General features: G+C 53.3%; 2 protein-coding genes across 4 annotated transcripts in view, besides 2 other annotated features; both read left to right on the top strand.

Annotated features, from left to right (window-relative positions):
• Window positions 798–7,821, top strand: CFP (complement factor properdin). 2 transcript variants are annotated; one of them, NM_002621.2, is made up of 10 exons: window positions 798–974; window positions 1,194–1,334; window positions 1,429–1,579; window positions 2,826–3,001; window positions 3,462–3,632; window positions 3,771–3,962; window positions 4,157–4,330; window positions 4,584–4,775; window positions 4,934–5,045; window positions 6,663–6,890. In NM_002621.2, the coding sequence occupies exons 2-10, from the start codon at window positions 1,259–1,261 to the stop codon at window positions 6,826–6,828; spliced, it is 1,410 nt and encodes a 469-aa protein (NP_002612.1). In that variant the 5' UTR covers window positions 798–974; window positions 1,194–1,258; the 3' UTR covers window positions 6,829–6,890. The 2 variants fall into 2 exon arrangements, with proteins under 2 accessions (NP_002612.1, NP_001138724.1); NM_001145252.3 differs by lacking the exon at window positions 798–974 and having other exon boundaries at window positions 1,173–1,334; window positions 6,663–7,821.
• Window positions 10,939–11,233: a silencer, noted in NCBI's record as "tiled region #11481; HepG2 Repressive DNase matched - State 12:CtcfO". NCBI's record gives its function as "represses a minimal TATA promoter and a strong SV40 promoter by Sharpr-MPRA in HepG2 cells {active_cell/tissue: HepG2}" and the evidence as "EXISTENCE:reporter gene assay evidence [ECO:0000049][PMID:27701403]".
• Window positions 11,023–11,232: a silencer, noted in NCBI's record as "silent region_20810". NCBI's record gives its function as "represses an Ori minimal core promoter by ATAC-STARR-seq in GM12878 lymphoblastoid cells {active_cell/tissue: GM12878}" and the evidence as "EXISTENCE:reporter gene assay evidence [ECO:0000049][PMID:35858748]".
• SYN1 (synapsin I) overlaps window positions 11,246–13,909 on the top strand; it is a 47,957-nt gene continuing 45,293 nt past the window's right edge. For both annotated transcript variants that reach the window (NM_133499.2, NM_006950.3), the window contains exon 1: window positions 11,246–11,751. In NM_133499.2, coding sequence (NP_598006.1) covers window positions 11,375–11,751 — 377 coding nt within the window. In that variant the 5' untranslated portion in view covers window positions 11,246–11,374. The remainder of the gene's footprint in view (window positions 11,752–13,909) is intronic.

Here is a 13,909-nt window from a genome sequence, read left to right as displayed (position 1 = left end):
TCTGGCATCCAGTAGGTGCTCAATAAATGTTGAATAAATTTATCAAACACAGAGCACCTACTATATGCCAGGCACTGTTCTAAAGACTTTCCAAAAGCTTAACTCCTGGCCGGGCACGGTGACTCACGCCTGTAATCCTAGCACTTTGGGAGGCCAAGGCAGGTGGATAACCTGAGGTCAGGAGTTCGAGACCAGCCTGGCCAACATGGTGAAACCCTGTCTCCACTAAAAATACAAAAATTAGCTGGACATGGTGGTACACGGCTGTAATCCCAGCTACTCAGGAGGCTGAGGCAGGAGAATTGGTTGAAATCGGGAGGCAGAGGTTGCAGTGAGCCGAGATCGTGACACTGCACGCCAGCCTGGGCGACGGAGTGAGACTCCATCTCGACAAAACAAACAAAAGCTTAACTCGCAATCTTTGCAACACACCCTACCTATGTTGTAGGTGCTGTCTGTGAGCACATTTTACAGAGGGGAAACAGGCTCCAGAAGGGGGGTGTTATCTGCCTGAGGGTTCTCTGATGGAATATGGCCCAGCTTATTCCCTCCTAATCACCCCAGACCCTGGTGTTGTCCCCAGCTGGGCCCATGGAACAATGGATAGACCCCATTCCCCTCCTGAATCCCTCCCCAGGCTCCTGCCACTTCCCTTTCTCACTTCCCTTGTGCTGACCTCCCCGACCACAAGCTGACCACAGGGAACCTCTCAGGAAAGGAGGGCCGAGGTTAAGGGAGGGTGGAAGGTGGAGCAACTGACTCGATGCTCCCTCCACCCCCACGAGCAGGAACATACTGAGCACCGCACACTCACTTCACCCTGGTTCAACACCCCCACGAGGTTGACCCCGTCATTATGTTAGAGATTATGCATTTTCCACATAGGGAAACTGAGGCTCAGGGGTGTTAAGTGACTCACCCAAGGTCACACGGCTAGGAAGTTGCTGCACGCTCCTATGCTCCATTTCCTCTGGGTGAGAATTTGTCCTAGGAGCTTCTATTGAACACTGTGAGGTTGCTGGGAGGAGCGCGAGGTGCTGGGGATATAGTAACAAACAGAACAAGACCAAGAGTAAGACAGGAAATGGGGAGGGGAGAGTAGAGAAGGAGGCAGAGGGGACAGGGTGGGGTCAAAGCAGGATGCCCTCCCAGTTCCTCCTGCCTCTAGGTTCCTCTTTCCCTGCTGATTCCAGGAGCCTATCAACCCAGATAAAGCGGGACCTCCTCTCTGGTAGAGGTGCAGGGGGCAGTACTCAACATGATCACAGAGGGAGCGCAGGCCCCTCGATTGTTGCTGCCGCCGCTGCTCCTGCTGCTCACCCTGCCAGCCACAGGTGAGGGGGTGAGGGCCCAGCTGGCCCCAGGGGTGTCCAGGCCCACCACATCCCTGACCGAGCCCCACCCACCCATCCCCTGGCCCTGTTACAGGCTCAGACCCCGTGCTCTGCTTCACCCAGTATGAAGAATCCTCCGGCAAGTGCAAGGGCCTCCTGGGGGGTGGTGTCAGCGTGGAAGACTGCTGTCTCAACACTGCCTTTGCCTACCAGAAACGTAGTGGTGGGCTCTGTCAGCCTTGCAGGTTAGGGGGAGCCTGGGGTGGGGGATGGGGGGGAGGGAAGGACTGTCTGTGGGGGTCACCCAAAACTGGGCACTTTCTTTCTCTGGGACTTCCAAGGGTGGCCCTGAGGCCCTGATCGTGACCATACCTCAGGGTTTCTCAACCTTGTTACTATTGACATTTGGGGCTGGAAATTCTTGGCTGGGGGAGGGGATTGCTTACCTGTGTATTGTGGGATGTTTTGTAACACCCCTAGCCTTCCACTAGATGCCAGTAGCAATTCTCCCCACCAGCTGTGACAACCAAACATGTCAGCAGACATTGCCAAATGTCCCCTGGGGGTCAAAATCACCCCTGATTGAGAACCACTGACATAGCTCACACATATTGAGCACCTCCTGCACACTGGAAGCATTGCAGGTGGGGTGCAGCTTGGTATTTCCCTAATTTTGATGACAGCTCATGTTTATTGAGTGCTTACTGTATATGGACACACTGTGGGGGCGGGAAAGTTTGGGGAATTCAAAGGGCAGCTCTAGGCCCCTAATTATGATGACACTTCACATTCATTGAGCACTCCCTGTATACCAGCTGCATGGCAGGGTTGGGAGATGAGCTTGAGGATTTCTGAGGGTAGCTCTAGTCTCCTGATCATGATTTCCAGCTTGCATGGATTGAGCCCTTACCGTATGCCAGACCTGTTTTCTACTTGTTTACTATATATCCCAGATACACCGTGGGCATGGGGAGCTTGGGGATTTTTGAGGGCAGCTCTGGGCCCCAAGTCATGTCAACAGTTCATCACATCTATTTGGCATGAACAGCATACCTAGGGCTATGCAGTGGGTTGGGGATAGATCTGGGGTTATTTCTGAGGAGGCCTCTGAGGTCATAGGGATGATGGCTCAGGTTTATTAAGCACTTTCTATTTACCTACTACCGTGTAGTGTGGTGATCTGGTGGGTTTCTGACAGCAGCCCTTGGTTTCTAGTCCTTACCTTTGCTTACTGCGGACCTGGTGTTGGCCATGCAGCCTTCCAATGGTAACTCCAGATGCCTGATTGTGAAGGTAAATGACATTATCAAGCACTTATTGTATATCCACTGCTTCCCATCAGTATCCCAATATCCCTAAAAGGTAAGGACTTATCAATCCATCGCACACGCACTTGCCTAGCAACCCTTCGTGTCTGCCCACACTCTGGAGTCCCACATGCCATTCTTGTTAGCTCATGCCAGGATGGGATGTGTGTGCTCTTCTCCACAGGTCCCCACGATGGTCCCTGTGGTCCACATGGGCCCCCTGTTCGGTGACGTGCTCTGAGGGCTCCCAGCTGCGGTACCGGCGCTGTGTGGGCTGGAATGGGCAGTGCTCTGGAAAGGTGGCACCTGGGACCCTGGAGTGGCAGCTCCAGGCCTGTGAGGACCAGCAGTGCTGTCCTGGTGAGGAGGATGAGCAAGGCGGGCAAGCACTCCCTGTCACCCAGCACTGGTGGGAACGATCGGTACAGAGGTCCTCAGAGTGGGCCCGTCCCCAGTGTTTGTAAGGACCTAAGGAGGAGAGTGGTGGGAGGTGAGGTCAGAGAGGTGAGGAGGGTCCATTGCCTGGGGGCCACAGAGAGGACGTTGGCTTTTCATCTGAGTAATTTGGACTGTGGGCAGAGGAGGAACGTGATCTGACTGGGGTTGGGAGGAGAACAGACTGTGCACGGTGAGGGTGAGAGGGGAAGCGGAGGCACCCATGTGAAGGTTGCTGCGGCAGGCCCGGTGAGCGGGGATGGTGGGCCCAGAATGGTGGCAGAGGATATAAGGACAGGATTAGCTCATGTGGGGCACTCAAGGAAGCAAAGAGCCCTGAATGACACCCCACCTCCATCCCATTACCCTCTCTTCTCTCCCACAGAGATGGGCGGCTGGTCTGGCTGGGGGCCCTGGGAGCCTTGCTCTGTCACCTGCTCCAAAGGGACCCGGACCCGCAGGCGAGCCTGTAATCACCCTGCTCCCAAGTGTGGGGGCCACTGCCCAGGACAGGCACAGGAATCAGAGGCCTGTGACACCCAGCAGGTCTGCCCCAGTGAGTGAGGGAAGCCACAGGATGCTGATGGGTGCACCCAGCGTGGGTCTGCGGGGTTACAGCAGGGAACTGCCAGGCTGAGAGGACTTTAGCATGCATGACCACACCTGCATCCCTCCACCTCCCACCCCACCACAGCACACGGGGCCTGGGCCACCTGGGGCCCCTGGACCCCCTGCTCAGCCTCCTGCCACGGTGGACCCCACGAACCTAAGGAGACACGAAGCCGCAAGTGTTCTGCACCTGAGCCCTCCCAGAAACCTCCTGGGAAGCCCTGCCCGGGGCTAGCCTACGAGCAGCGGAGGTGCACCGGCCTGCCACCCTGCCCAGGTACACCAGGATGAGGCTGCTGATGTTGCTGGTGGGGCTCTTGATTGAGGGCAGAGATGCTCTGCCATTTCTAGAGTTCCTAGGCCATGTGACCATGCAGCCCTTCATTTGGGGACAGTCTGCTTCAAGGGTCTAGGGGCTGAGAGGAAGGATTGAGGAGGCCTTTCTCCTCACTCCCTTTCCTCCTCCAACAGTGGCTGGGGGCTGGGGGCCTTGGGGCCCTGTGAGCCCCTGCCCTGTGACCTGTGGCCTGGGCCAGACCATGGAACAACGGACGTGCAATCACCCTGTGCCCCAGCATGGGGGCCCCTTCTGTGCTGGCGATGCCACCCGGACCCACATCTGCAACACAGCTGTGCCCTGCCCTGGTCAGCATCTCAGGGTTCACGATTTGCATGCCTAAGTCCCCCTTGCCCTTCTCTGCTGCCCAGCTCCTGCTGCTGAGGCCTTGTTCCTGTCTCTGATTCCTCCTTTCCTGGCCCTGATACCTTGTTTCCACCCCTGGTCCCCCATTCACACATCTGATCACCTCTACTCCCTCCTACCGCCCTCATTCCTTCCTCTGAACCCCCTTGCTGATTCCCTGCTTTGGTCCAATCCCCTGTTGCCCTGTCTCTGCAGTGGATGGGGAGTGGGACTCGTGGGGGGAGTGGAGCCCCTGTATCCGACGGAACATGAAGTCCATCAGCTGTCAAGAAATCCCGGGCCAGCAGTCACGCGGGAGGACCTGCAGGGGCCGCAAGTTTGACGGACATCGATGTGCCGGGCAACAGCAGGATATCCGGCACTGCTACAGCATCCAGCACTGCCCCTGTGAGTGTCCCACAGACTGTGCTCTGAGGGTGGGGTGGCCCATGCAGGATAAGGGGTTTCCAACTCTCTGCTGTGGACCTCACGTCTCTGCAGCCTCCCTCTCACTTTCCCACCAAGACCTCCAGTTCTGACTCTGTGACCCCTACCCCTCATTGCAGTGAAAGGATCATGGTCAGAGTGGAGTACCTGGGGGCTGTGCATGCCCCCCTGTGGACCTAATCCTACCCGTGCCCGCCAGCGCCTCTGCACACCCTTGCTCCCCAAGTACCCGTGAGTGAGAGGGCAAAGTATGCCTGGGAGGGGGTCATTATATTACAGGCGGGAGAGTCGGCTACCCCAGGAAACCAGGGTTTCCACTGCTGAATCTAAGGTATCTGCCTTGCCGAGTGCCACCTCCCAGCTGCAGGAAGTGGGGAGAAACTAAGAAGATGAGAAAGAAGTTCTTGGAGGATAATTCGTAGCCTCTGTGCCCCTCAGTCACCTGTTCAGTCACTCATCCACTTAGTCCTTCATGTGTCATTGACTCCGACCTTCAGTTACCCATGCTTTTAGCTGCCATCACTCAGGCCTCCATTCACTGCCTGCCTCCCACAGTCACTCATGCCTCCATCCACTTTGTCAGCATCTCACTGAGCCAAGGCACTCCAAGGCTTTTTCAGCAACAGTTGCAGATACACACAGCCCAGATCCTGTGGATCCTCCAAGGGACCCAGCTGAGCAAGCCCCTGACAGGAGGCATATGAGGAACAGCTGGTGCATGCAACAGGTGCTGCCACCTCAACCTAGGTCCAGGAAGCTGACTGGGCCTCCCAGGGCAGGTAGGGGTTGGGAAAGGCATTCCTGGCATCAAGACTGTGAACGGAGCCTTGGAGCTAGGTGATTAGCCGCTATAAGTGTTTCCAGGTGCCAGAGGGGCCCAGGTGTTAGAGAGGGTTAAAATGTTCATCCCTTTTCTTCCTTCCACATACATCAAGCTACTAGATTAAGTGAACTATTCCCAGCTCGTGGAAGGGCTGCCATCTGGGAAGGGATCTCCCGGCTGAGGGGGTTAGAGTGGGGCCTGAAGATTAGAGGTGTTGAATGGAGGCACAAAGGACTTGAGTGAGCGAGAGACTGAGTGGAGGAAGAAGCAATTGAGAGAACTGGGATGGGAGTGAATGGAGGGCTTTCCTAGTGGGACAAATAACCCAGGTAAAGACCTTTCTGGACAGGGACTGAGCTTGAATAAAGTGGAGGAGACAGAGAGAGAGATTGGCTTGGGGCAGGGATTTGGGCCCAACAATAAGGCCTTGAATGTCAGGACAAGGCATTGGGTTTTTTCCTGGAGGCAGTGGAAAGAGATATAAAGGGTATATATTTCGGAGGTAAAAGAAAGTAGCTCATGCCAACAAGTAACATTCACCAGCATTTATTGAGCACTTGCTGTGTGCCAGGCACTGCTCTGAGCACTTTACCTGAATTAACTCATTTATCCTCATTCAACCCCGTGAGGTGAGTATTAATATTACTATTCCTACCATTCTCATTTTGCAGATGAGGGAAACCGAGGCACAGAGAAGCTAAAGAAATTGCCCAATATCCTATAGCTAAAAAGTAGTGTTGGGAGGCCAGGCACAGTGGCTCACGCCTGTAATCCCAGCAACACTTTGGGAGGCTGAGGCAGGAGCATCACTTGAGCCCAGGAGATTGAGGCTGCAGTGAGCTATGATTGTGCCACTGCACTGCAGCCTGGGCAACAGAGTGAGACCCTGCCTCAAAAAAAAAAAAGGAAAAAAAAAAAAAAAAAAAGTAGCCCTCGGCATATAGCAGGCACTCAATAAGAATTGAATGCATTCTTGCCTTCCCTGAGATTCTCCCTTCCGTTCCTCCCCACCCCTAATGCCTCAGGCCCACCGTTTCCATGGTCGAAGGTCAGGGCGAGAAGAACGTGACCTTCTGGGGGAGACCGCTGCCACGGTGTGAGGAGCTACAAGGGCAGAAGCTGGTGGTGGAGGAGAAACGACCATGTCTACACGTGCCTGCTTGCAAAGACCCTGAGGAAGAGGAACTCTAACACTTCTCTCCTCCACTCTGAGCCCCCTGACCTTCCAAACCTCAATAAACTAGCCTCTTCGAGTTCGTCTACGATTCCTTAAAGGAGGAAAAACAACCTATCCCCTTCCCCAAAAGTAGGGTGATAGCATCTCATAGGGCAAACAGCACAGCACGGGCCAAGACACAGCAGCCTGTTGCGGAAAACAGTATTTTCCACTGTGGTCGCAGGTTGGCAGGAGTGAAAGCGAGTGTGCAGTCCCAGCCTCTCCCCGCCGCTGCCATAACCCCAATGTCTGGGCCCTGCGCAGCCCCCTTAGAGCCTCAGGGCCGCCCGGCACGTTCCTCTGCAGAGCTCCGCGTTACGGGTTTCCTGATTGGCTACTTGTCCTGGCAGGCACTTCTTGATTGGCCGGCGTGCTTGTTCGTTGTCTCCCCGTCTCCTGGACCTCCCTAGATTCCCACCAGCCGGAACCCTGGAGGAGCCTCTGCCGGCCGACTCCGACTCCGCGTCAGTCGAGGATGAACGGCAGAGGCGTGGCCGAGGCTGGCACCCTGCCGCCCGAGCACCTGCACCCACCCACTCCCGACAGCCCAGCTCCAATGCCACAATTACCAGCGACAAATAGCTCGGCGAGGCGGGGGGCGGGCCGAGGAAGTGCCTGTGTTGCGCTCTGAGCTGAGGAGGGGCAAAGAAGCTAGAGTCAGTATCCGCCCGGAGGAGCCCCCAAGACAAATCCAGACACTTTCCTCTGGTAATTTGTTCATTCATTCAACACTTATTAGCGCCTGCTGTATGCTAAAGCTGAGTCTGAGCATCTAGGGTGGAGGAGGGCTGGTAGAAAGAGGACATCTGAGTGAGGGAACAGACTCAGAAGGTATTCCTTTCGTGTGAACATCTATTCAACACTTAACGCCTACTGTATACTAACAATAGTGCTGGACATCACGGAGAATAGAGAAGAAGAGGAATCAGAGCGTTACGTGTCTCCGCAGTAAAGGGAACAAAGCCAGACACCAGTGCTTTTAGCATTTGCTCATTCATTTACCACTTACTGAATGCCGGGCCCCTTGTGAAGAGACGCATCATAAGAATCATAATAATCATGGTAATAGCTACTACTTAGAAAGTACTTACTGTGTGCTTAGTAGTGTCTTAAGGCTTTCCATAGCATGAACTCATTTCGTCCACAGCAAACCCATGTGGGTAAGTATTATTATCCCCATTTTACAAAGGAAACACGCACAGAAAGGTAGTAGGCTGGACATTTTTGAAGCATCATGGATTGTGATGAGGTCTTAAATGTCAAGAGTGCTGTGGGTGGAGGGGACCCGTCTGTGTGGGAAGGTTCGGGTAGGAGGTTTGTGACATGCACACCCAGAGTATATTGGTACACTTACTTGACTTCTCTGGTTCGTTTTCCCCTTATTCAAGTGGACCAGTCAATGAGTTGAAGTGAAGATGAAGTTGATGAGTACTTACTTGGTCATCTTGGGAAGACTGAGCCAAAGTGAGGGGTTCTGGTTGCTACTACAGGGTATGAGAGAGGTATACGTTTACAAGAAAGTGGGAATTCAGCTGTGTGTGTGTGAGAGAGAGATGCAGACCTTTGGGCCTGTGCAAGAATTAAGGATGTATTGATATGTGGCATGTGTGTGAGGTTACAAATGTATGTATGCCATAACAATGCAGGAGTCCCGTGTGTGCACATACACATTAAGGTGCCATGGACATGTATGTGTGAGTCACAAACATGGGTACAATACTGAATGTGAACATATGTCAGGGGTGTGTGTTTGAGAGTCGTTGCTCACCAATGTACAGCAAAATCATTATTGGGGCCCCTTTTGTACGCCTATTCCTGCTGAACAAGATGGAGACAGTTTGGGGGAGCCTAACCTTTGCCTTAGTGAATTGAGGCACTCCTGAGGTGAATCCTCATTCCTCTACAAAACAATCTACAAAAAATTAATTTCTGGAAATTGAGCCACGTGGAAAAATGAAATGGTGCTGGGGCCACAAGTACTAGGAACCTAGGAATGGGGACCCCAGGAAGAGGCGCAGCCTGGAGATAGATTCCCGAGGAACCTGAATTCAGACCTAAAGGAGTCAGAAAGATCTGTAGACCTGCAGCTGTTCCTGTCCCCAAAGAGGGCACCGCGCCCTGCACAGCTTGTTTGCTTCCGTTACTGGGCAAAAAACCAGGGAGCACATACTTCAAGACATTGGAAAATATCTGATTTGCGGGGAGATCCCCATCTGGGTAACACTAGGATTTGGAATGCCAGAGAAGGAATCCTGAAGGGAGGAGAAAAGAGTGGCCAAATCAAAGGCCTGGAGGTGGGACTGAAGCTGGCTGGGTTGGAGGAGGGAGTAGAGGATGGTTTGGGAAGTGTTTGACTTGGGTACTGTGGAAGCCTAGGGGAGGAGGGGATAGAATCTGAGACCTGGGGGTGAGGGGTTCCTGCAGACAGTGGCCAAAGGCAGCCCTCGAGAGAGAAGGAGAGGACATTCCTGGCAGAAGTTACAACACATGCAAAGGTACAGAGGTTGCCCCCTTCCTACCCCTCTCCTTAGAGGTGGGTTAGAGATGTATCCTTTTTACAGATGAGGAAACCAAATCTCAGAAAGATTAAGTCACTTTCCCAAGTGTATGGTGGAGGCCCCACTTGAACCCAGGCACTGTGTCTCCAGACCCCACACTATTACTGCCTTGTTTAAACCAGCCAATGATTTAATGAATAAAGGATGAACAAATGAATAAGTGGATGAGTCACCTGAAAATTCTGCAGGCAAAAGAGACTCCATATCTACTTACTTCTTGCCTATCTTCTGCCACCTCTCCTAGTCCACCATCACTGCTCACTATGGTCAAGGTCCTACCCAATCTGGCCCCTGCTACCACAACCCCCTTCAGCTTGTTCCAGCCACATTGGCACTGGATGTTTCCTCTTCCTGGCACATTCTTAAAAAAATGTGTTGATCATAAAGTGAACATGACCCTTTGGGAATTAACTGGAGTTCTTGTATTCCCTCATCTGTAAAATAGACATTATATTATCCACCCCACTGGATTGTTGTGAGGGTTGGATGAAATGATGCATGTAAACAGCTTAGTTAAGAGTTGGGTACAATCAGTGAACAAATGATTATGAATTAGTGCTTTTATTGTAGTCAGAATCATAAAGATTTGACAGGTTCCCATATCCCACCTCTGCTTGGACTACCTCATTTGCTCATATGCAAACATTATTTGGTACCTACTGTGTGTGCACCATGGGATGGGCCTGCCTCTGTGGAAAGTTCTTGGGTGCAGGGGGAGACAGCCATGGGCACTGATGACATCAGGTAGTTATCGTGAGTTTTGGCGGTGTCCAGAGCAAAGGGATGGTGGCGTATATACCAAGTGTGTTCTGGTGTGGGGGTGGACACGCACCAGGGCTAGGGCTGCAGAGAATGTCTGTGTTGCAGATCTAGGTTTCTCCATGATCATCGGTGGGAATGTGTTTTGTCTGCAAGTGTATGCTCATATGAGTTTCCCTGGGTCTCTGTGTGTCAGTGTGTTACCTGTGTGTGTGGGGGTATGGGTGTATGCATGCATGTATGTAACATGCCCATGTGTGTTACTCTGGACTTGTATGTCTGTATGTATACCTAGATTGGCGTGTGTTCTGTCTGTACATGCCCTCGTATGTTTCCTCACTTTTGTGTGTGTTTATATGTGTGTCATTTCTTGTGTGCCTCCAGGCCCCCCTTGCCACCTTGGGCAAGGGTGTGTACACCACCCAAGTGTCCACCTCCGCTTGTCTGATGCTGTCTGTGACGCCCCCGCTCTCTGCCTAGCTGAGCCTGTGTGGATGTGGGAGACTAATCTCCCCGCGGGCACTGCGTGTGACCTCACCCCCCTCTGTGAGGGGGTTATTTCTCTACTTTCGTGTCTCTGAGTGTGCTTCCAGTGCCCCCCTCCCCCCAAAAAATGCCTTCTGAGTTGAATATCAACACTACAAACCGAGTATCTGCAGAGGGCCCTGCGTATGAGTGCAAGTGGGTTTTAGGACCAGGATGAGGCGGGGTGGGGGTGCCTACCTGACGACCGACCCCGACCCACTGGACAAGCACCCAACCCCCATTCCCCAAATTGCGCATCCCCTATCAGAGAGGGGGAGGGGAAACAGGATGCGGCGAGGCGCGTGCGCACTGCCAGCTTCAGCACCGCGGACAGTGCCTTCGCCCCCGCCTGGCGGCGCGCGCCACCGCCGCCTCAGCACTGAAGGCGCGCTGACGTCACTCGCCGGTCCCCCGCAAACTCCCCTTCCCGGCCACCTTGGTCGCGTCCGCGCCGCCGCCGGCCCAGCCGGACCGCACCACGCGAGGCGCGAGATAGGGGGGCACGGGCGCGACCATCTGCGCTGCGGCGCCGGCGACTCAGCGCTGCCTCAGTCTGCGGTGGGCAGCGGAGGAGTCGTGTCGTGCCTGAGAGCGCAGCTGTGCTCCTGGGCACCGCGCAGTCCGCCCCCGCGGCTCCTGGCCAGACCACCCCTAGGACCCCCTGCCCCAAGTCGCAGCCATGAACTACCTGCGGCGCCGCCTGTCGGACAGCAACTTTATGGCCAATCTGCCAAATGGGTACATGACAGACCTGCAGCGTCCGCAGCCGCCCCCACCGCCGCCCGGTGCCCACAGCCCCGGAGCCACGCCCGGTCCCGGGACCGCCACTGCCGAGAGGTCCTCCGGGGTCGCCCCAGCGGCCTCTCCGGCCGCCCCTAGCCCCGGGTCCTCGGGGGGCGGTGGCTTCTTCTCGTCGCTGTCCAACGCGGTCAAGCAGACCACGGCGGCGGCAGCTGCCACCTTCAGCGAGCAGGTGGGCGGCGGCTCTGGGGGCGCAGGCCGCGGGGGAGCCGCCTCCAGGGTGCTGCTGGTCATCGACGAGCCGCACACCGACTGGTAAGCCACTGCCGCGGACGTCTCCCGTGGGCCTGGGTCCCCAGATCGTTCTTCTGCGAATGAGCAATTATCGAGCGCCGCTTGTGTGCCTGACACCTGGCCCTCTCACCTAAATCTTTTTCCTTTAAATTATTAAGCTGGATGCTTCCTCTGTGCCCCGCCCTTGTCGCCCCCCTCCGCCCCTTAAACCTTGATGGATCCAGGGAGCAATTATCAGGCACCTGCTGCGTACCTGTTCCCTACTACCCCTCCCCCAAAAGTCTTTGGCTTCAATATATCCTATGAGCCTTCGAAAACCGAACGTGTCCTTCCTACCCTCCCCAACCCTTGCCCCATAGGCCTTGTCCTCTAATGGATCTTGTGAGCACTTATCTAGTACCTGCAGTATGCCTCATCCAAGAGCCCTTCCCCAAGGCCTTTGATTTCAATGAGGTTTGTGAGCATTCTTTGAGAGCCTGATACTGTCCTGTTCTCCTCAACCCTTGCCCTGAGGCCTTCTCTAATGGGTCTTGTGAGCATGTGTCCAGTCTATGCTATGTGTCCCACCCCAGCTCCGTCCTTAAAGCCCTTTTAAACTATTTAGTAAACATTGAGTACCTGCTGTGTATCCCACCCCAGCTTCTCTCCAAAAGCTTTGCCTTTCATGGATCCTGTGAGTTTTGATTGGATGCCTTCTCTGTGCCCCAACTCCAAGCCCTCTCTCTGAGGGCCTTTTCTCCAAAGGATCTAGGAAGCATTTGTTAAGTGCCTGATACGTGCCGCACCCCCAAACCCCTTCTCAAACAAATCATTTTCCTCCAGTGAGTTCCATGAGCAGTTTTGAACCTTCTTTGTGTGACTCATCTTCAGACCGTCTCCTCAAAGACCTTTCCCTACAGTGGATCTAGAAAACATTTATTGAGTGCCTCTTGTATCCCCCGTTCTCCAGCTACTTCTTCAAAGACCTTTCCTTTGGTGGATCCATCTAGCATTTATCAACTGCCTGCAGTGTGAGCCTTCTCTAAAAGTTCTTTCCTCCAGTGTATTCAGCAAGCATGCATTGACTGGTGCCTGCTGTATACCCCACCCTCAAACCCTTTCTGCAATACCCTTTCCTCCAGTGGCTTCAGTCTGCATGTATTGAGCACTTTCTGCATGACCCAACCTTAGACCTCTCCATAAAGGCCTGTGCCTCCAGTTAATACAGTGCTCAGATATCTGGCACTTGCTGTGTGTACCATTCCAGTCACTCTTTCCAAAGACCTTTTCTTTTAATCACTCCTTGGAGTATTTATGGAGCACCTGCTGTGTACCTGATTGTGTGCCTTCTTCACAAAAGCCTTTTCTCCTATGGATGAAGAATCGAGCTCCCATAGATCAACTTTCTGCACTCCCATTTCCCCTCCCCATAGGACTTTTCCTTCAGGGATGCAGTGAGCCTTGATCAGGTGACTATATGTCCATCCCCAGCCCCACTCCCCAAAGGCCTTTTCTTCTAATGGATCCAGTGAGCATTTATTCCTTGTCTGTCATGTGCTCCATTTTAATCATCCTCCCCCAAAGACCTTTTCTTCCAATGGCTCCCCTGAGCATTTATGGAGTGTCTTCTGTGTGTTCTGTATATTCACACCTCCTCCCCAGAATTGTTTTCTTAACAGTAGATCCAGTGAGCACATATGCAGGACCTGTTGTTTTGGGGAGTACATTCTTCTTCCTTACCCCTAGGAGAGCCTGTTCCAATCACAAGGCCTCTCCCAAGGTCCTTTCCTGTGATAAATCCAGAGCTGAGTTTATAATGATCACCCCTTTCCCACTCCCTTCAGTACCCCTAGGATTCCCTCTACCAACTTTAATTCATACCCCCAAAGGGCTTTTAGTCTATTTAAGTAACACTTACTTAAGTAAACACTTTTACTTAATAGTTTTACTATTGACTTAATTTACTAAATAAATTTAGTAAATTTACTAAATTTACTATTTACTTAATAGTTTTACTATTTAAGTAAACACTTATTGAGCACTTACTGTATAAGTCACTTTCAACTTCCTCTTTCCAAGTCTCTGGAAATCCCTGACCCTGCCTCAAGAGCTCTCTCTCTAGGGGTCTACTTCAGCCTAAATGTATTGAGTACCAGCTGTTTACTGGTTAGATTACCTCTCCCCCAGGAGCCTTTACCGA

This window comes from Homo sapiens, chromosome X, assembly GCF_000001405.40.
Source record: "Homo sapiens chromosome X, GRCh38.p14 Primary Assembly".
Lineage (NCBI taxonomy): Eukaryota > Metazoa > Chordata > Mammalia > Primates > Hominidae > Homo > Homo sapiens.
The sequence above is the reverse complement of the archived record's forward strand: the minus strand, read 5'-3'. Positions and strand labels throughout refer to the sequence as shown.

What these genes read in the sequence shown, in the direction of transcription:
- CFP (NM_001145252.3), top strand. Translation starts at nt 1,259, where the DNA reads ATGATCACAGAGGGAGCGCAGGCCCCTCGATTGTTGCTGCCGCCGCTG. An exon ending in GCTCACCCTGCCAGCCACAG is followed by an intron (nt 1,335 to 1,428) that starts GTGAGGGGGTGA and finishes GCCCTGTTACAG; the next exon opens with GCTCAGACCCCGTGCTCTGC. An exon ending in GGGCTCTGTCAGCCTTGCAG is followed by an intron (nt 1,580 to 2,825) that starts GTTAGGGGGAGC and finishes TCTTCTCCACAG; the next exon opens with GTCCCCACGATGGTCCCTGT.